The sequence below is a fragment of the Homo sapiens genome, chromosome 8 (genome assembly GCF_000001405.40).
Source record: "Homo sapiens chromosome 8, GRCh38.p14 Primary Assembly".
Classification (NCBI taxonomy): Eukaryota; Metazoa; Chordata; class Mammalia; order Primates; family Hominidae; genus Homo; species Homo sapiens.
This window is the reverse complement of record NC_000008.11, coordinates 86,393,243-86,415,479: the sequence shown is the minus strand read 5'-3', so window position 1 is coordinate 86,415,479 and position 22,237 is coordinate 86,393,243. Positions and strand designations below refer to the sequence as shown.

Here is a 22,237-nt window from a genome sequence, read left to right as displayed (position 1 = left end):
TTGAGGGGCAAAACATATTGATGTCTGCAACTCATTGAAATGCACTAAAAATCAGATGGATGAAGAGATGAAGAGATGAGATAAGGCAAGCACAATAAAGGGTCAATTGTAAAATCTAGTGGGAAGTGTATGGGTTTTCACTGCAAAATTATAATTTTCTGTACATTTGTAAATTTTCAACATAAAATGTTGGGGAAAATAAAGCAGGATACGGAAATGTGGGGAAACTGGCTTGATTTGGACAGGAGACTCAAAAAACACCTCTGGAATGAGGTAACATTTTAACAAAACCTGAGTATATTTGAGAATACATAAAAGAGCACATGCAAAGTTCTTTAGGCAAAATCGTGCTTGGCATAACACTCAAATGTTATCTCCAGGCTAGAATATTCTTCTTCAGTTCTGGAACTGTACATATAACTGCCTCCTTGGTATACGGCATGAGGTACATATATCAACTGGATGCCCTACAAAATACAGAACACTTTCTCATCACTCTCCTACCCTAAGTCCAACATTCTATCATTATTTCAGTCAAATATGCCATGACCCAGTTGCCTAATCGCTATTTAGGGGCGGGGGTGGGGGGATGGGGGGGGGATTCAGAATGTATTTTTAATCTCTCTGAAAAGTACTCAATATTAATACACTGTCCAATTTTTCACTGATGCATACTTTAGATTTTGATACACAGAATTTTTTTATTTCATCTACATATCTCTATATAAAGTGAATTAAAAAATGTGGAGAGTAAAGGGTTAACAAAAGAACTTGAAGTAGCAGTTCTCAACTTGGCTGTACATTACAATCAACAGGATTGAGGCACCCATAGTCCTATCCTGTTGTTAGCTAAATGACTCAGTAAGTTACCAAACAAAAGAAAACACAGGAACTAAGGTAAGATTTTTAAGCAAAGAGGGAAGATGATGTGGAGTTGAAAACTGCTGACTCAAAGGGTTACACAGCCTGGTGCTGTGTATGCCAGAAGAATCCACCTTGGTTCCACTCTTTTTCTATTCTATCTCCCCACAACTTATCAAGACCCATCTTATGTCAACCTAAAATATTAGCATTTACCTCACTTCAGGCTCTCTTAATTTCTCCCCTGGATTAGTGGCTTTTAAACTTTTTTTGACCACAGTTTACACAGTAAGAAGTGTGTTTTATATAAATATCTCTGTGTATACCAGATTGCTATTTATCTACTGATTTTACTTACATACACACACATACACACACACACACACACACAGAAAAACAAACTTTCAGGAAACAATGCTTATTCTTACTACATTTAACATCTTCCAATATTTCCTATTCTCGCCTATATTTCTTTATTTCATTATGTGTTCAAATGCTGGTCATAACCTATTAACGGGTTGCACTCTACAATTTGAAAAACACTAATATAGATTACTGCAAAATTCTAATACAAAGATCATAAGTGGTGACAACAAGTCTGCTGAAGCATTTATCTGGTCTCAACAGAATTAGGTTTATGTACTTACTGTTTTGAACTGGAATGCCGGCTTCCCTCATTTATAAAACAGCCTGGCTGCTATCCCAACTCCTTAACTCCTCAGCTGTCTATACCACTGCAAAAATGATCTTAATAAAAGCAAAGAGGATTATGCCACTCCCCTGCTTTACATTCTTTAATGCTTATTCGTGGTTTTCAGAAAAAACTTCCAAACCCTTCGAAATCACACAAAATTCTTCACAGGGCTGTTTTCTCTTCAGCATTATATATCTTGCTGCCTCAAATGCTGAACTCAAACTATAACAAAATAATAATTCCTGGGTTCAGCATACTCATTTTCATGGGTGCTAGGAATCTGAATGTGCAGTCGGCTCTACTGAAAATGAAATTTTCACCACTCGTGCCTCCACTATTTGCTAACTCCTCCTCTTCTTTCAGAATCCACTGACGTGTCATAGCTTTCGAAAGTATTCTTTGACGTCAACGGCGCAGGTAACTCCTCCCATTCCTTCTCTGCATGTATTCCTTGTCATGGCATCCTAAACTTACCTCTGGCATAGCTTTAATTGTACTGTATGCTGGCTGATTGTCTACTTCTCTTCCCCTCCCCCACCACTTAGACGATGAGGTTCTTGACAGTAAGAACAGCTTCTTATATGTCTTTGCCACAGTGACTGGCACATGAGAGACTAGGATAATTGACTAATTTACCAAACATGGGACACAGGACAAGAGATTTTTGAGAGGGAAAGGAAAGCTAATATAGGGTCTGAAACATTTCCAGGAAACAGAAGAGGGAAAAGTAGTTGAAAATAAGCTCAAAGAAAAGTCTGGCCTGAACATATAGATTTAATAGTTAAAATGATGGAGAGCTGGCCAGGCATGGTGGCTCACACCTGTAATCCCAGCACTTTGGGAAGCAAGGCGGGTGGATCATGAGGTCAGGAGTTCGAGACCAGCCTGACCAACATGGAAAAACCCCGTCTCTACTAAAAATACAAAAATTAGCTGGGCATAGTGGCGGGTGCCTCTAATCCCAGCCACTTGGGAGGCTAAGGCAGCAGACTCACTTGAACCTGGGAGGCGGAAGTTGCAGTGAGCCAAGATCGTGCCATTGCACTCTAGCCTGGCCAACAAGAATGAAACTCTGCTCCAAAATAATAATAATGGAGAGTGCTAGATCTACTGGGGTAAGCACACAAAGGAAGACCAAAGGCTGAAACCGTAATTAAGCAGTGGACAACATCAGACGAGCCAGTAAAGGGCACTGAGAAAAAAAAAAACAATTCCAAAAAAAAAACCAACGTACACTAACATAGTGACTGAGGTAACAAAATGAAGACAATAGTGTAGAGACATCTAGAAGTGCAGTTTCAATAGCTACAACAGTTGACATTCTGATCACTGTAAACTGTGTTGGAAAGCACGTGTCCATATATACTTTCTGACTGTACTGTATATACTGTACACGTTTACAACTGTGAATCACTAAATAAGCTTCTTGAAGGCAGAGACAATTAATCATTAATTAATATTAGTATTATCAGTGCCAAAGGTCAAAGAAATTACCGAATGGAATACACATATAGAATACTCTTTAAAGAAAATCATGGGAAGTTGAGTAATTATAATGAGAAACTTAAAAGAGATTAAGAATTACTAACCAGCAATGAAAAACTGCATTTTTAATAGAGCCAATCAGCAAGGTTTGTGACTCCCCAGCACTCAATATTAGCTGAGGAAAAGAAGAGCTATTTGCTCTCCAGTATGAGGTCTGGAAAACAGATCACCAAGGATGCCAGAGAACTGAGGATATTATATGGAGTATCATGGTCACTCTTACGAAAAGTAGAAATAAACCAAGAATCAAATTAAGAGGGTCTTGCTAATTAACATCAGGTTTTTTCTTTTCCCTTCGTACTACATATATGTCAACCAGATGAGCAATTGTTCTTAGTTTCAAAAAGTACTTGTTTTGTAGCAAGTAAATAAATAGTATGATTCAGATCCCAACTTAGATTTCAAAGTTCTGAACAATGAAAACATTTTATGCACACATTCAATAATCGTATGTTAACAGAGTTGCTACTTAAATGCAAGTCAGACATTAAAAAGCTTAACATACCCTGATGGCAAGGTTTCTGTGTTGGCATTCCCAGACTGCTGCCGTACAGGATCCATACACCCATCTGGCTGTCTTGATTTGGCTGCTTCAAAAGCAGAACTACTTCTAGAATTAGAGGTGTCAGGCTCTAATATACTTCTAGCTTCAGATTCCAATTCTGCACTGGTAGAAGGAATACATTCATTGTTTTCTGAGGAAGTCAGTATTTCTTGAACTGGAGGATCTTCAACAGTAGTACTAGTGCAATTTGGAGACAAGGCATTTTCTTCAGACACTACTGGAGTACCCGTGACAGACGCATTATCAGTTGGTGCAAATGAGGATGATTCTCCATTAACTGAGAAGGGAAAATTAATAAAATCATCTATCAAGTAATGATAAAGCAATCAATTACCTAATCAATTGACTACACTTATTCAGAGCCTAATCCAGACTAAGCAACTACAATCCATTCTCCAAACAGCAGACAAAGTAATATTTTCAAAATATGTAACATAAAATAAAATGGAGATTTTATTTTTGTTGCTCAAAATTTCAGGGATGAATATGTAAATGATAAAAATTTAAGTATGTATAATAATAACAACCTTAAGGAGAGAGGAACCAGCATTAAGATAACCAGTGTTTTCCCTCCAAATCATCAATTCTGAGAGGAAGTCTGTATGGGCCATCTAAACTCTGAAAAATGATCCCTTTCAATCGCCCTTCCCTTGTGTAAGTGGTAGCTAACATCAAACGAACTGTTTTGCCAATAGTAGGAACTGTATGATGGCATCAGTTCTTAAGATAGTACTATAGGGGTTGCAAGAACCCATTCTACACTTTTTCAAGAAATAACCCAGTACTGCAATCCAGTGACACAGTTTTCCTAATTTTCATTTTAAGTGTGATTGATCTAGTTCGACTACGTGTCACTATAAAAATGAGTCAAATTAAAACTGTAAGGGTGAATAGATTACAGAACAAAACCTACTGGAAGACCATATATCAAAGTTCTAATGGAAATGGCAGAGGGAGACATAATCACAAATTTTAGGAGAATTAATGACAAAAAGAAAACACTCAGATTAAATGCTACTGGACATGGCCAAAGAAGTACCTAAAGATGTAAGAAAGAATGGTAACAAAAGAGCTTAGAATTCATTCCAGATACAGAAAAAAAAAAAAAAAGTAAGTAGAAGAAAATGAATTTTGGTCAAAAGACCCAAAAAAAAGATCAGAATTTCCTAATGCACCTGATAAGACTCCAGAACTTACTGAAAATATAGTATCTAAGTCCTCATCCTAGACTTACTGAATCTCTAGGGGAAATCTCTAGGGAAGAACCTGGGGATCTGCATTTTTAACAAATGCATATGATTTTTTTACTCAGGAAAGCTGGAGAAACCATGAAATATACCTTTCCAAGTGTTATAAAGAAAACATGTTTAATATAAATAACATTAGAAATACCACGTACAATTTCATATCAATGAGTTTGAAATTAGCTAAACTAACTCAAGGGAAAGAAAAAAAGACAAATCAGAGCAGCAATGGAAAAGGTGATGAAAGTTCTAATATCATCCCTCCTAAAGGCTCCAGGCTCAGAAAGGTTTTTGAGAAAATTCTATGAAGCCTTTATTGGATAGATCATTCTTATGTTATTTAAGGTGTTATAACACATTAGGGGAGAAAAAGTGAAAAGGAGTGTCCTAACTTATTCTGGGAAGGTAATGTAAACTTTCAAAGCTGAAACTGAACAACAACAGAACAAGAAGACTATAGACTAACATCATGTATAAATTCAAGGATGATTTGATATTAGGAAACTACATTAGAAAATCTACTGTTAGCAGATTAAAGGATAAACGTCATATGATTATTTTCAAAACAAACCAAAAGCATTCAAGAAAATCTTGGTAAAATGCCTGATAAGAAGAATCATGAAAAATTAAGAAGTAATCTAGATTATCTATCACAAACCTACAGTCATTAATATACAATAATTGTAAAACATTTTAAGAACTTTTTTTTTTGAGAAGGTGTCTCGCTCTGTGGCCCAGACTGGAGTGCAGTGGCACAATCACAGCTCACTGCAACCTCCACCTCCCGGGTTCAAACGGTTCTCCTTCCTCAGCCCCCCAGTAGCCGGGATTACAGGCACCCGCCACCACGCCTGGTTAGTTTTCCTATTTTTTGGTAGAGATGGGCTTTCACCTTGTTGGCCAGGCCAGTCTTGAACTCCTGACCTCAAATGATCCACCCAACTTGGCCTCCCAAAGTTCTGGGATTACAGGCATGAGCCACTGTGCCCAGCCTATTGTAAGAACTTCTATTAAGATCAAGAATAAAGTAAAATCAGGGCTGGGCACAGTGGCTCACGCCTGTAATCCCAGCACTTTGGGAGGCCGAGGCGGGTGGATCACGAGGTCAGGAGTTTGAGACCACCCTGACCAACACGGTGAAACCCTGTCTCTACCAAAAAATAGGAAAATTAGCTGGGTGTGGTGGTTGTGTGCCTGTAATCCCAGCTACTCAGGAGGCTGAGGCAGAAGTATTGCTTGAATCCGGGAGGTAGAGGTTGCAGTGAGCCAGGATCACGCCACTGTACTCCAACCTGGGCAAAAGAGCAAGACTCCGTCTGAAGAAAAAAAAAAAAAAAAAAAAAAGAAAGAAAAAGAAAAAGAATAAATTAAAATCAGCAACAAAACAAGGAAGATCACAATTACCAAGCCAATTCAGTATTGATTATATTTGACAATCCATTAAGAAAAGTCATAACAACATTGGAAAGAATATGGTAAAACTCATTTGTAGTGAAAATGACAAATAGATTATTTATTTAGAATACACAAGAAAATTTTTTTAAAAACCCCATTAGAACCAATTAATTGGAGCTAAAACATTTCAGCAAAATGAACAGACACAAGATCAACAACAAGATTACTTCAAGACCTATCCGAAGAAAAAAAATTTTTTTTTTTTTGAGACAGAGTCTTGCTCTGTCACCCAGGTTGGAGTGCAGTAGCGCGATCTCAGCTCACTGAAACCTCAGCACCCCAGGTTCAAGCAATTCTCCTGCCCCAGCCTCCCAAGTAGCAGGGATTATAGGCATGCGTCACCACACCCGGCTAAATTTTTTTGCATTTTTAGGATTTCATTATGTTGCCCAGGCTGGACTCGAACTCCTGACCTCAAGTGATTCCCCAGCCTGGGCCTCCCAAAATGCTGGGATTACAGGCGTAAGCCACTGCACAACCAGCGTGAAGAAAACACTTTAAAAAACATTACTAAAAAGAATGAATACAGACATAAAATATCTCTCAATGGGAAGATTCAGTATTGTTAAAATAATAATAAACAATAAACAACTCTCCTTGAAATGCAAATGTTGGTGAGATGCAAAGCACTAGGAATTCTCATTCACTGCAGTGGGAATGCAGGAGTACAGCCACTTTGGAAGACAGTTTGGCCGTTTGTTACAAAAGTAAACATACTTTAAAAATACAACCCACCAGTCTCACTCCTCAATCCAACTGAATTGAAGACTTATATTCACGTAAGAGCCTGCACACAAATGTATATAGCAATGTTTTTCACAATTGTAAAAAACTGAAGTAACCAAGGAGCCTTTATAATAAGTGAGTATTTAGTGATAAAAAGAAATGAGAAGTCAAGCCACAAAAAACATGGAGAAACCTTAAATGCACCTTGCTAAGTGAAAGAAGCCAATCTGAAAAGGCTACCCACACTGTAGGACTCCAACTATGTAGCATCCTGGAAAGGACAAAACTATAGAGCCAGTATTTAAAAACAGCTGTTGCAAAGGGTTTGAGGGATAAACAAATGAAACAAATTTTAGAGTAGTAAAACTATTCTGTATGATACTGTAATGGTGTGTACATGACGATATGCATTTCTCAAACCCACAGAACCAGTACAATACAAAGAAGGAACATTAGTTAATATAAGGTAATGTAAACTATGGACTTTAGTTAATAACAATGTATTATTAATGGTTCATTAATTGTAACAAACATCACAGTAATGCAAAATGTTAGTAATACAAAAACTCTGAGTGGGATGGGAGGACATATGGGAACTCTCTACAATCTCCCCAGTTTTTCTGTAAATCTGAAACTGTTCTAAAATATAAAGTCTATTAATTTAAAAAAAACTCTTAGAAACAAATTATTTCTATTCAATAATTCAACAAATGTTGGTTCTTCAATACTGCTCAGAACCGCATTAAGATGCCACAATAATATTTGACTGGAGAGATTACTGTTCATATATATCAATGGTTCTTGACTAGGGAAGATTCTGCTCTCCCCACCGCCAAAGACATTTAGTAATGTCTGTAAATGCATTTGGTCATCACAACTAGGAGAAGGTAAGATATTACTGGCACCTAGTGGATACAGATCAGGAATACTGCTAAACATTCTATTAATATAATGCACAGGACAGCCCCCTACAACAAAGAATTACCTGGGCCAATATGTCAACAGTGCTGAAATTGAGAAACTCTGATACCTATGTGCCCATCCACCTGGCAGTGTGCAGCCTATGGTAGTTGCAAAATAAACATCTGTTGACAAATGGATATAAGAAAGATTGAACAGATAAAACCGAAAAAAGAAGGAAAGGAAAAGGAAAGAGGAAGGACAGGATGGTAGGCTCCTTGCTCATGCAGAAACACGGGGCAAAAAATTAAAATCTTATGTAATAGTTATGATAGCAGAAGCTTATGCAAACCATCTCATCTCCACAAGACATAAGACCACACCCACTGACTTGGGTTCTGAATGAACATCTCCCAAGCCTTACTTTCAGCCATTATGACTTCTGGGTTACAAGACATAGCTTCCTAACTTCATGTTTAATCTTTGAGAGGTTAAGTTTCACATGAACTTTATGGTATATCCATCTCAAAGCACCACGTATTTGTCCTCACCCTAAAAGTACATTCAAATAAAGAAGAAAAAAGTAGAAATACTAGAGTGAATACCATTTTTACTCCATTTTAAAACTATGACATGAGAAATGACTGCTTGCATATACACAGCAAGTTTCTTTAACATTCAGTTCACACTTGAGAGTGGATGTAGCTTTAAAGAGGGTACATCATGAGGGAGTCTTCTGGTGATGCTACAGTTCTGTACCTGGATTGAACTGGTGGTACATGAAGCCATATGTGTGACAAAACTGTATAGAAACACACACACACACATACACACACAGGTAGAAATGGTGAAATGTGAACAAGCTGTATGGGTTGTATTCATGTCAATTTCCTGATTTTGTACAAAATAGTTATACAAGATGTTAACACTGGAGGAGGCTGGTGAAGGGTGCATGGGACCTTCCCATACATTTCTTTGCAACTTTCTGTTTATTTATAATTACTTCAGAATAAAGAGCTAAGAAAAAAATATAATAAACTTGTGATATCATGTACTTCTGTCTGAAACTCACCATACTGAGCTCTGATCTACTTTATTAATAAAATAACAACTATATATTAGAAAAAGTTATTTGACACTAGAAGTTATGACCAGAGGAACAAAGTGGAACAGAATATATTTTTCTTAAATACCACTCTCCAAGGACTATTATGAATGTTTTAGATTATCTCATTTAACCTCCAAAACTGTCCTATAAGGTAGTCGCATATTATCCTCTTTTCATAAATTTTGAGGATGTTCAATTTGTCCAAGGTTACAGAGTTAACATGGCAAGTGGTTGAGCTGAGACACCACGTTACCTCCTGTCAGAAGCTAAATCTAATCTTTTTACTACATCATGACTGCCTCCCATTTTAACCTGGAATACCTGCCAATCTTCATAGCAACTAAACCGTCAGATGGATCCCCTTACTCAAGCTTCAAAAGAACAGGAGGTGGGGGAGGTGGAAGCCCTCATATATAATAATGTCTTTGACAGAAATATATCGTTTGTCTTAAACCCCTTAGTATTGACCCACAATTCCTAATCTGAAACCTCAAAGTGCCAGGTGTGTTCCAGAATTCATAACTTTCTTTGGAATTTAGAAAGGTAGCAGTGGACAACATGGTAGCTCACCCCTGTAATCCCAACAATTTGGGAAGCTGAGGTGGGATGATTGCTTGGGGCCAGGAGATTGAGACTAGCCTGGGCAATATGGCAAAACCTCATCTCTACAAAAAATCTTAATATTAGACAGGCATGGTGGCACATGCCTATAGTCCCAACTATTCAGGGGGCTAAGGCAGGAGGATCGCTTGAGCCCAGGAGGTCAGAGCTACAGTGAGCCATGATGGTGCTACTGCACTCCAGCCTGGAAGTCAGGGCAAGACCCTGTCTCAAAAAAACAAACAAACAAAGGTAATGGCATATATATTGTATATTACACTATGCCTGGAGGAGGTTTAGGGGCCACACATCGTGATTAAATACATTAATATTTCTGCAGCGAAATGTAGAGATATGCACAGTAGCCATGATAAATAAGAACCATAAATAGCCTTTCATCAGTTCTAGTCATTTTGCCATCAAATGAGTTTACCAAAAAAAAAAAAAAAAAAAAATCCTTTTGGTTTCAGAGATTTCAAGATTGTGGAACTGCAGATTAAGAGATTAAAAGCATTTAATTATGTTACACATAGAATATGCACACCCCTATCCCATCTCCAAAAACAAAAGCTAATTTTTGAAATCCTTAATTAGAAAAAGTAATGCCATCTTATACCAACACCTTAAAAGGACAGGGATTACCCACTCCTTGAAAAGATACCTGAATTCATCCTTTATTAAGTGATGAACAATCATACAAAAAGACATCAGTTAAATGGCTGCTACCAACAGAGCAGGTTCCGGAAGCCTCTGTAAACCGGCCAATAGAATGATGACAGTTAGATTGTTTTGTCAGATGTCACTAGCAATAATCAGAGGTGGTGAAAAGGCTAGGGGAATGCTGTGTGAAGCCTAGCAGTATAAAAGATGAACAGCATAGCTTTGAGATCCTATAAAAACCACACACATCAAAATGAATAGGAAGAAGGCAAAGTGCACAGAATCAACAGCCAGATAGCGGAATGTCAATTACAGTTCTTCTACTTCCTAGCTGTGCCCTCTCAGTGCCTCAGTTCCTTCATCAGAGAAAAGGAAAAATACTACCACCTATTTCAAGGAGTTACTGTGAGAGAGATAAATCAGTTAATGGATATATACTATTTAGAACATGCAGGGCACAAATATGAGCTATTATCACTATTTTTCCGATTGTCATAGATTTCCTTACAGTTACTATGAATGTCATGAGAATTATTTATGATGGAACCTTCATGTTCCTCACATCCATTTTATTTTTACCTTAAAATTTTAGGCAAGAATAAATAAGAAAGAAATGCGAGAACTGAACTTATTACCAATGGAAAGAATCTATAAAGTATCAGACAAGCTGTAGAGGTATAAATAAGATTCTATGATGAGGAAAGCCTCAATTTCGTCTCCTTTTTATATCAACATCTGAATACATCCAAATGCCAAAACATACAACTAATTAGTGGTCAATGGATACTTTCACCAATGTATTCCATCAGCTGAATATTTTAGGAATAAGATCAAAACCTCCAAATCCATATTCAAGTTGAATATCCCTTATCTAAAATGCCTGGAACCAGAAATGTTTCAGATTTTAGATATTTGTTTAAATTTTGGAATATGTGCATTTTACTTGCCAGTTTAGCATCCCTAATCCAAAAATTCAAAATCTGAAATGCTCCAACGAGCATTTCCTTTCAGCATCATGTCAATGCTCAAACAGTTTCAGATTTTGGAGCATTTCAGATTTGAGATTTTTCAGATTAGAGACACTCCACCTGTATTAGAAATAGTAGCAGTTTTAACTAGTCTGTTCTTAATTTAGAAATAATCTGAATAATCCAAGACAATATTTCCTTTTCTGCTTTGCTAATAGGAATCTCAGAGACAAATGTTCTTACCAGAAAGTAGGTGAAAATCAGAAAATACATGAACTTTGCTCATTAATTTCACCATAATTGTATCTATTCTTCTCTTTGTTTTCTAGCCACCTTAAATTAAGACTAAAAAATTCTACCTACTGTGAGTACTTGGGAAACCGTATTTTAGTCTACTTCTTTTTTTTTTTTTAAGGGGAGCATTATTAAAGAAATTAAATTTTGAAAATATCATTCATGTGTCAGTTCTCAATGTTTACAAAAACTCTCAGACAGCTCTTGGTAAACATCTCCCCAAACACCAACCTTGGGTAAAAATACACAATTAAGACTTATTACTGTCCAGGCACGGTGGCTCACGCCTGTAATCCCAGCACTTTGGGAGGCTGAGACAGGTGGATCACTTGAAGTCAGGAGTTTGAGATCAGCCTGGCCAACATGGTGAAACCCTATCTCTACTAAAAATACAAACATTAGGGGGCATGGTGGCACACACCTGTAATCCCAGCTACTCAGGAGGCTGAGGCACAAGAATCTCTTAAACCCAGGAGGCAGAAGTTGCAGTGAGCCGAAATCCTGCCACTGCCCTCTAGCCTGGGCAACAGAGTGAGACTCCATCTCAAAAAATAAAAGACTCATTATCAAAAAGATCCATCTATTTTAATGTAATTACTGAATTGCTTCTTTCCATGTTTCTAATTCTGAATACTTCCATAAATAGACAAACACAGGGAGGAACATACGCTCTTGAATAAAAAGACCAGGATTTCAACTTAATTCCCAACATGTGTGCTAATAATCTTAAACACGTCCTAAGATGTTTAAGTTTCAGGAGACTCACCTGAAAGAGTTAATATACAATGACCAAACAAAACAATTTATGAATCTTATAAATGAGTCCACTAAGGATTATAGAGGACATCTTCCTTAGGCATTCCTTCTATAATACAGTAATGCTTACTTTTGGAAAATAAACTTTCTGAGAGCTATTCAACTCGCAGTACATTTTTCCACCAAGTTAGATGCCAAGAATAATAAATTTGTATACTGAAAGATGGGATAAAAGAACCATTCATTACTCACTTTTACTTAGAAATCAATGAATTAACTAAAGTTCTTTCAGAAATATATTTTATATCATGAATTACATAGTATTTTTTGTGGCAAAGCTTAAGAATCTAGCTCTCATATAAGCACTTGCTCAGTAAAAGTTCTGACCTCTAAAATATTTTTGAAATATCTTCCTAAATAATCCAGAAAGTTACAAATTATTAGGAAAAATTTCAGGCATTGTAATTTTTAAATTCCTATCATAGACTAGAAGATTAAGAAAGACTGCACAGGCTGGGTGCAGTGGCTCATGCCTGTAATCCCAACACTTTAGGGAGGCTGAGGTGGGCAGATCACTTGAGGTCAGGAGTTCGAGACCAGCCAGTTGCCAAAAAAGTGAAACTCTGTCTCTATTAAAAATACAAAAACTTTTTAGCTGGTTGTGGTGGTGGGTGCCTGTAATCCCAGCTACTTGGGAGGCTGAGGCAGGGGAATCGCTTGAACCCAAGAGGCAGAGGTTGCAGTGAGCCGAGATCGCACCACTGCACTCCAGCCTGGGTGACAGAGCGAGACTCCGTCTCAAAAAAAAGACTACACAAAAAGGGAAGTGTAGGCATGGATGGATACATAAACTTCATTTACTTTTCCTTTAAACAAGGTGTCATAAATAGCCTTGCTTACCAGTGTCATCGGCAGGCTCAGATGCGAGTGGTTTTGGAGCTGGTGTATTTTTGGGTCTGGCAGCAACCTGAGACGGAGATGAAGGTGTGTTGTCTCCATTAACTACATACGAGCAGCATGAGTTTTGGACTAGAGTGCTTGTAGGTACATGATTATCTATTCCATTCGTGCCTTCAACAGCCAACCTTGAAAAAAAAATGCCTTATTTCAATCATTTAAGTATAATTCAACAACATTTCATGAGAATTTTCATAGGATTTACTAAATTCTCTTAAGTTTCTTTTTTGTTATTTCTTTTTTAAAATTTTTTAGATTCTATTTCCAAACAATTGAGTTTTTATGTTTCAAGTAAAATGATAGGTAAATAGAGTAATGAACAAAGATATGACATGTTTTATATTAAAGTTTTAATTACTTTTCAGTTCTAAGTGTATTCATTCTGCAGATAAAAAAATACTGAGATATACAAACATACTAAGTCAAAATAAATACGGTCTCCCACAATAATATTCAAATTGTACATTTTAAATATTTAAGCCTAATATTAATCTATTTTAAAAGCTCTGAAAGTAGTTTCAAAAAGTTCATGAAATTATATGAATCATAAAAATAAAAATCAAGTATAAACTACTGTAAACTTTTTTTTTTTTTTTTAGAGACAGGATCTCACTCTGTCACCAAGGCTGGAGTGCAGTGGCTCACTGCAGCTTCAACCTCTTAGGCTCAAGTAATCCTCCTGCCTCAGCCTCTTGATCAGCTAGGATCACAGACGTGCATCACAGTGCCCAGCTAATTTTTTAAATTTTTGTAGAGACTGGATCTCCCTTTGTTGCCCAGGCTGGTCTCAAATTCCTGGCCTCAAGCGATCCTCCCATCTTGACCCCCAAAGTGCTGGGATTATAGGTGTGAGCCATTGTACCTGGCCTGAAACTATTATAACTTTATTAAATCTTGAAAAATAAGTGAAAAACAGTCTTCAAATATTAGTTACAAATTAGCATATACTAGGCACTAAAATCATGACTACAGGATGATCAAAAAAAGCTAAATATTATACCCCAGAACTATAAAAATGTATAGTATATACATCAGCAAATAAATAACTAACAACAAAATCAAACATTTTAAGTCTTATTGGCAGTGGAAGGAGCTGGGCGATTTGGTGAGACACAGTGTTTAAAAAAAAAAAAAACAAAAAAAGTTCAAAGCAATTGGAAATTATCATGTAAGTGACCAGGAGAGCTTTTCCAAATACACAGGTCATCCCATAACTGCTCTCCACAGAGCAGCCTGAGCATTGTTTTAAAAATATAAACCAGGTCATCACGTCACTCTCCTGGTTAGCCAACAAATCTTTTGAAAATCAGCCACACCTTTATCCCATCTTCTCTCTAACCTATTTCTCTCCAAGCTCATCCTTGCTCACTTTGCAGCAGATAATCGATTTTACTGAATATCAAAAACATACTGAACAGTCTTCAAATGTTTATTACAAATTATTATATGCCAGGTGGTAAAATTATACAACTATGAAATTATCAGAAAAGGTTAAATATTATTCTCTAGAGTTAGAAGAATTTCTAGAACATAACTGTAAACAAACTTGGGGTCTCTGAAGTTGCTGTTTCCTCTGTCTGGAACATTCTTCCCTCAGAACTCTGCACAGATGGTTCATTTGTGGCTTATTAATCTTAGCTCAAATCATACCTCCTCAGAGATGATTCCTTGGCATCTCTTTTAAAAATAGGCTCCCTTCCATTCCTGTCATCTTGTCCTGTTTAAATGACTTCATAGTGCTTATCGCTATGTCTAATTAGCATATTTATGTCTTCTGTTGTTTACTATCTTTATTTATTTATTTTTTTCCCCCCGAGACGAAGTCTTGCTCTGTCGCCCAGAGCTGGAGTGCAATGGCGCGATCTCAGCTCACTGCAACCTCCGCCTCCCGGGTTCAAGCAATTCTCCTGCTTCAGACTCCTGAGTAGCTGGGATTACAGGTGCGCACCACCATGCCTGGCTCATTTTTTTTGTATTTTTAGTAGAGACGGGGTTTCACCATGTTGGCCAGGCTGGTCTCGAACTCCTGACCTCATGATCTGCCCGCTTCGGCCTCCCAAAGTACTGGGATTACAGGAATGAGCCACCATGCCCAGTCTACTATCTACCTTTATCCCATCAGAATGTAAATTTCATGGGATCAGGGCTGGTATTCTTAATACTTGGACTAATGTCTGGCATCAAACAGGCATTAAGTAACTATCTGTTGAATGAACATTAATGAATCCCACCCTCCTTTCCCTTGTTGCCTATATATTTGGAACAAGATGTGTTTAGGAAGTTTGGGCAGGTAAAGACTGAAATGATTGTGATTTGTATACCCCTCCCCAGCCAACCAGCAAGAATCAGTGATTCAGAAGTCTAGGTAAAAGAACCCATTTGAATTTCTCCCCGTACTGTAGAACTAATCTTTAATTCAAAGCGTCTTACTATGCAATTGACAACATTTGGTAGTAATTCAAGCTCCTCTATCCATCTAAATTTTTTTAAATTATATGGACATTAAATATATGTACTTAAGCCAAATATACATTCAGAAGGCATACTTATCTGTTCAAGTGGTCTAATGAGAATCACTTAACGGCAACTTAGAAGAAACGATACTAGTAACTATAGATTAATAAAAGTCACACTTTGTCATATACTAGCATGCTTTTTCAAAGGTAATGAGTCCATTTTACCACAATATATTTTTATATTTTCAGGTGTTAATTCTACTTTATTTGCTCTATTATTTTATTCCAATTTAAATTACTTCAAACAAAAAACCTCTATTAATTGTCATGAACTGTGAATGCCAGGGAGTTTCTGAAATGGTAGAATGATGTCTGAGGGAAGGCCACAATGATGTCTGAAGGAAGGCCACAATCTGTGAAGCATTTATCTTCTCATGATTTACAGGATAATGCCAATCCAGAGAGCGGTATGATACCTATTTATCCATAGTATCTGACTGTACTCATAAAATATGTCTAAATACAGATTTTAAAAAGCCATTTTCAATAAAAAAAATAAAGCACTGTATATGCTGCAACATAAATGAACCTTGAAACATGCTAAGAAAAAGAAGTCAGTCACAAAAGGTCACATATTATATGAATCCATTTATAGAAAATGGCCAGAATAGACAATCCACAGACACAGAAAAAGTAGATTCATGGGTGCAGGGAAAAATGGAGAGTGACTACTCATGTATATACATGGTTTCTCTTCAAGGTAGAATATTCTGAAATCAGACAGTAGAGAAGGTAACACAACTCTCTTAATATATTAAAAACGACTAAAATGTATACTTTTAAAAAGTGAATTTCATGATATATGTATGATATCTCAATAAAGCTGTAATTTTTTAAAAAGCTACTTTCACAAGAATTAACCAAATGACATGCTTAGACATAAGCTTCTAAACTGTGTGGCAAATTCTAAACTAAGGTAAAATATAAAACTTCTTATTCAGGAAATATGTTCCACATCATGTCGCCACCCATATTCAAATAAAATATTCTACCTGGCAGTTGTCCTTGCTGAAGGCTCTCCATTTTCATGTAAGGCATCACCATTTTCCTGTATTTCTACTGAACAACAAGAAAGAAAAAAACTAGGTTTTTATATACTTCTTGCTTATTCTTTTTCCTTGAAATTTTACAAACATATAAAGTTAGCTTACTGGTTGGAGATGAGCTGCAGTTTGTTATATTTTCTTGCTCAATCACCAATCCATCAAGCACAACTGTCAATTCACCAGTTTGTGCTATGCCATTCTTGTTTTCCAAGGAAAGTTTTAATTGTTCTTTCACTCTTTCCACTAGAAAGAAGAATATTCTAATTTAAAAGCTTTTGCCACATATAAAAATGCTTCAGAAATCAAACCTACATTTCAAGAATCACTCTAATTCAGTACTTGACATTTGGAAGGAATTCTTTGCATGCCTTTGACAACTAGTTAAGTAATTCCTCTTTCCCCCTCAATCCCACGCTTTCAATATCACCTTTAATTGCTTCTGTGCATATTATAAATTTTGGAGAACATATAAATACATTTAAATAATAAGTGTAGCAATTGTCTAAACTTGCTTTTCAGCTCAAGGTACCACAGATGACTCTTGTGGTTGAGGCAAAATTTCTGCACAAGAGTCAGATTAAGTTTGGTTTCAAATTCCAGTTCTGCTACTTATTGGCTGTGTATTGAGTAACTTATTCAAACATCTTTAAGCCTTGGTTTCTTAATTACAAAATGGAGACAATGGACTTCAAACTAAAGGGACAGTGTTGAGGACCAAATGCAAAACCATACAGACAGCCCTAGCACCACTTCTGAGGCACAGTTTATAAGTGCTCGATAAATGCTACATATTGTGACAATCGTTTATCATTTTTATATAAGGACAAATACTTCCTTCCCATTATTAGAACATCTAGTTCTTATTTAAACTCAAGGTCATTTTGCTTCAACTTCTATGTTAGACTATATATTTAGACTATGCATTAAACGATATATTAGACTTCTATATATTAGACTATATATTAATAGTCATTAGTGAGGGCTTAGAGAAATGGAGAGATGAAGGTAAAAGGATACACAGCTTCAGTTAGAAGGAATTTTTGTTTCTTGGAGATATTGCACAATGTAATGTACATAGTAAATAATGTGTTGTACATTTCAAAATTGCTAAAATTCTAAATGTTCTCATCACAAAAAAAATAAGTATTTGAGGTGAGATATGTTAATAAGTTTGGTTTAATTATTCCACATTGTATTAATTGATCATAACATCACTCCATACCCCATAAATATATACAACTATAATTTGTCAATTTATAATTTAAAAATAAAAACTAAAAGAGAAAGTTATCAGTGATCACTTTATTATTCAAACTGAGGCCAAATACTTCCATCTGATCTTCAGTGGCTTTCTGCAGTTTTTGCAATCATGGAACATTTCACGTTTTTGATGAAGTCCTTAACTTTGATCTTTCCTATATTTAACAAATTTGGGCAGGGAGGAGAGGTTCTCCATTTACCAAATGTCCAGCATAAATATGTTCACAAGTTATCTATGTACAGAAAAGACAAGACAAAAATCTAGAACTACTAATCACCGGACAGAAATTTCTTTGTGGCCAGGCCTGGTGGCTCACACCTGTAACCCCAGCACTTTGGGAGGCCGACACAGGAGGATCACTTGAGCTTAGGAGTTTGAGACCAGCAACACAGTGAGATCTAGTCTCTAAAAAATTTAAAAATTAAGGCCAGACACGGTGGCTCACGCCTCTAATCCCAGCATTTTGGGAGGTGAGGCAGGCGCATCACTTGAGCCCAGGAGTTCAAGACCAACCTGGCCAACATAGCAAGACGCTGTCTCTATTTTTTTAAAAAAATTAAAAATTAGCCAGGTGCAGTGGCATGTGCCTGTATTCCCAGCTATTCAGGAGGCTGAGATGAGAGGATCCTGTAAGCCCAGGAGTTCGAGGCTGCAGCAAGTGATGATTGCACTATTGTACTCGAGTGGGAGTAATAGAGCGAGACCCTGTCTGAAAAAAGAAAGAAGAAAAAGAAATTCTTTGCAAAAAAAAAAAAAAATGTTTAAACCATGTGATAAAAGAAGACCTTATAGAATACCCCAACCATTTGTAGCACCATAGACCTCATTTCTACTTTACATCAAAAACAAACAAACAAACAAAAAACAAACAACTAGAAAAACTAAAGGAAATACGAAAGCACACACACACAAAAACTACAAAAGCAGCCAGGCGCAGTGGCTCACGCCTGTAATCCCAGCACTTTGGGAGGCCGAGGCGGGCGGATCACAAGATCTGGAGATCAAGACCATCCTGGCCAACGTGGTGAAACCCCGTCTCTACAAAAAATACAAAAAAATTAGCTGGGCATGGTGGCAGTTGCCTGTAGTCCCAGCTACTTAGGAGGCTGACGCAGGAGAATTGCTTGAATTCGGGAGGTGGAAGTTGCAATGAGCTGAGATCGCGCCACTGCACTCCAGCCTGGGTGACAGACCAAGACTCCATCTCAAAAAAAAAAAAGAAAACTACAAAAGCACGAATTTCAGCTTTCTCTAAAAATCAATATCTGAAGAAAACTATATTGACTGACATTCAATTTCATTCTTGTCATCTCTCATGATTTCAAGTGTCTGGAATTTGGTGATTTGGCTTCTCCCTAAAATATATAGCTGTTTGAATAGATTCCTAAAGAAGAGCCTTTTAAAATCTCTTTAGTGTGTATTTCTTGGTAAATTCTTTCATTTTTGTTTATCTGTAAATGTCTGCATTCTCATCCTCAAAAGACAGACTAGTTGGGCATATAATTTTGTATTGGTAATGATCTCAACTCTTTGAAGATATTTTTCCACTATCTTCTCTTATTACTAATTCTGCAATTCTAATTCATAAATTTTTGCAAATACTCTGTTTTTCTCTACAGCTGCTTTTTAAATTTATTTGTCTTTGGTATTACGCATTTCACTATGATATGGGGAGGTAGACTAAAAAACAAAAACATTCTTTTAGTGGTAAGTGCATTGAAGGAAATGAGCAAAGCAGTGGTAAGGAGGTCTTCTTTAGGCTAGTCAGGGTTTAACCCTGACCTAGTCACCTAGTGACCTGGTCACCAGGCATGACTTTTCTCTTTGCTCTCTTGTTTGGGACAGTATGAATCTGTGGACTCATGTTTTTCATTAGTGTTCAAAAACCTGCAGCCATTCTCTCTTAAAATATATCTCCTCAAAAATCTGGTCCATTACCTATTTTTCATAAATAAAGTTTTATTTGAACACAGTCATGCTCATTCATTTACATATTCTCTATGGCTGCTTTCACGTTACAATGGCGAGTTAATAACAGAAACCATATGCGGCCTTTATGCTCAAATGTTTACAATCTGTCTCTTTATGGACAACCTCTGCTTATGGTGGCTTGTTCCCTTATGTTTATTCTCTGACGTTAGCTTAAACTAATTTTAAGCTAATTTTTACCAGTGGTTTGATGATACGTCCTAATTTTACAGTGGTTTGATGGTACGCCCAAGAGTGTAGACTAGAGGAGTTCAAGCTCAGCTCCCTTCTCTGGCTATTAGCCAAAAGCTCAGCATCATTAAATCTGCTATTGGTATGGCAGACTATTCTAATTCTGTTTCATGAGGTTTTCTTTACCCCAACCCCCTCATCTCCTGGCTTTTTTTTTTTTTTTTTTTTTTAAGAAGAACAGCCCTCTACCTTTTTGCAAAATCATCAACGCCACAAAGATTTGTTCAATCCAGGACCTAGGTATTCTGCAGTGGGAGGGTGTTTACAGTATATATTATTTCACAATTCTGAACATGGAAGATTGAGTTATAACATTTTGGATCATAAAACTGGAAGGACAATCACATAAATAATTCCCATCTACATGTGTTTGTATATGTGTGTGTCAGAGGGAAAAAGATATTATTCTGTCACAGTATAAACAAACCAACTCCGATGTATTTATCCATTCAATATTTGAGTGCCTACGGTGTGCCAGGCACTGTAGATGGGGAAGAAGCAGGACAAACCTTGACTAGCCTAAAGGAGACCTCCTTACCACTGCTTTGCTCATTTCCTTCAATGCACTTACCACTAAAAGAATGTTTTTGTTTTTTGGTTGACCTCCCCAAATGAAATGAAGTCTCTAGCAGAGCAGAGATCTTGTCCAACTAATTCAGTGATGTATCCTCAGCAACTGAGAGAAGGTAGGTGCTTAAAAAACATTTAAACTAAGTGATTAAGGTAGTCCTGTCCTAGGGGAACTTACTCTTGTAAGGCAGAAGCTGATTTTTTTGTACCTCCTAGACCTTCTTCCTTAGTGTTAATACAGCAATTTGAGACAGAACAATTTGAGTCTCTGAGGAGGTAGGTATATAACTAGGTAATCTGTTCTATAAATCATGGATTTGTTGAAAACATGTTTCACAGACTTCTATTTAGCTCAGAGCCACATTCTGAAGCCGTTTTTAAAAACTGCTCAAACAATGTATTATCTATTGCTGAGTAACAAATTATTCTGAAACTTACTGGCTAAAAATAACAATAATCACTCATTATTGCCGAGAACTCAAGAGGGGCACATCCACATCTGGCAGGTGGGTGCTGGCTGCTGAGAGGAGACCTCAGTGCCCCGCCACAGGGCTTTGTGAGAGTCTTCTCAATGGTTGCTGATTTCCCATGGTGAGTACTCCAAGAGAACAAGGCAAAACCTGAAATGCCTATATGACTAAGTCTCAGAGTTTGTACACCATCACTTCTGCCATAATCTACTGGTCACACAGATAATCTCTGACGCAGTGTGGGAGGGGACTACAGAAGGGTGTTGGAACCCAGAAGGTATGAATGCTTGAAGGCCATTTAGAGGCTGGCCAACATACTCAAAAGTATGAGAAAAACAGAATTTTTAGAAACAAAATGAACACATTAGGTTACATAGCTTGTAAGTGACAGTCTTAATAATAGCAAAGTTTTCTAAAATTCCTAAGTCTTTTCATTATATCATGCTATGAGTCAATGTTCAACAACTCACAAAGTTAAGCTCCTACTTCCTACCATGTAACAAAAAATTTCAGAATTTATTTACTTATTTATTTATAATAAATCTGTAATCCCAGCACTTTGGGAGGCTGAGGTGGGTGGATCACTTGAGGAGTTCAAGATCAGCCTAGCCAACACAGAGAAACCCTGCCTCTACTAAGAACACAAAAATTAGCCAGGCATGGTGGCACGTGCCTGCAGTCCCAGCTACTCACACAGTTAAGTAGCTAGGGTTATTCCTAAGAGCCTTGAGGGGAGGTTGAGGCAAGGAGAATCGCTTCAACCCGGGAGATGGAGGTTGCAGTGAGCCGAGATCGTGCCAGTGCACTCCAGCCTGAGAGAC

The 22,237-nt window shown here is 37.0% G+C and overlaps 1 protein-coding gene across 10 annotated transcripts in view; it reads right to left on the bottom strand.

Annotated features, from left to right (window-relative positions):
* Positions 1–22,237, bottom strand: part of WWP1 (WW domain containing E3 ubiquitin protein ligase 1) — a 125,957-nt gene that overhangs the window by 53,024 nt on the left and 50,696 nt on the right. For 5 of the 10 annotated variants that reach the window (NM_007013.4, XM_024447056.2, XM_005250760.5 and 2 more), the window contains 4 exons: positions 17,001–17,138; positions 16,842–16,908; positions 13,277–13,461; positions 3,606–3,942 (listed from right to left, as the gene is read on the bottom strand). In NM_007013.4, the coding sequence (NP_008944.1) occupies positions 3,606–3,942; positions 13,277–13,461; positions 16,842–16,908; positions 17,001–17,138 (727 nt within the window). The remainder of the gene's footprint in view (positions 1–3,605; positions 3,943–13,276; positions 13,462–16,841; positions 16,909–17,000; positions 17,139–22,237) is intronic. The other 5 variants (XM_005250761.5, XM_047421282.1, XM_017012993.2 and 2 more) reach the window with 2 other exon arrangements.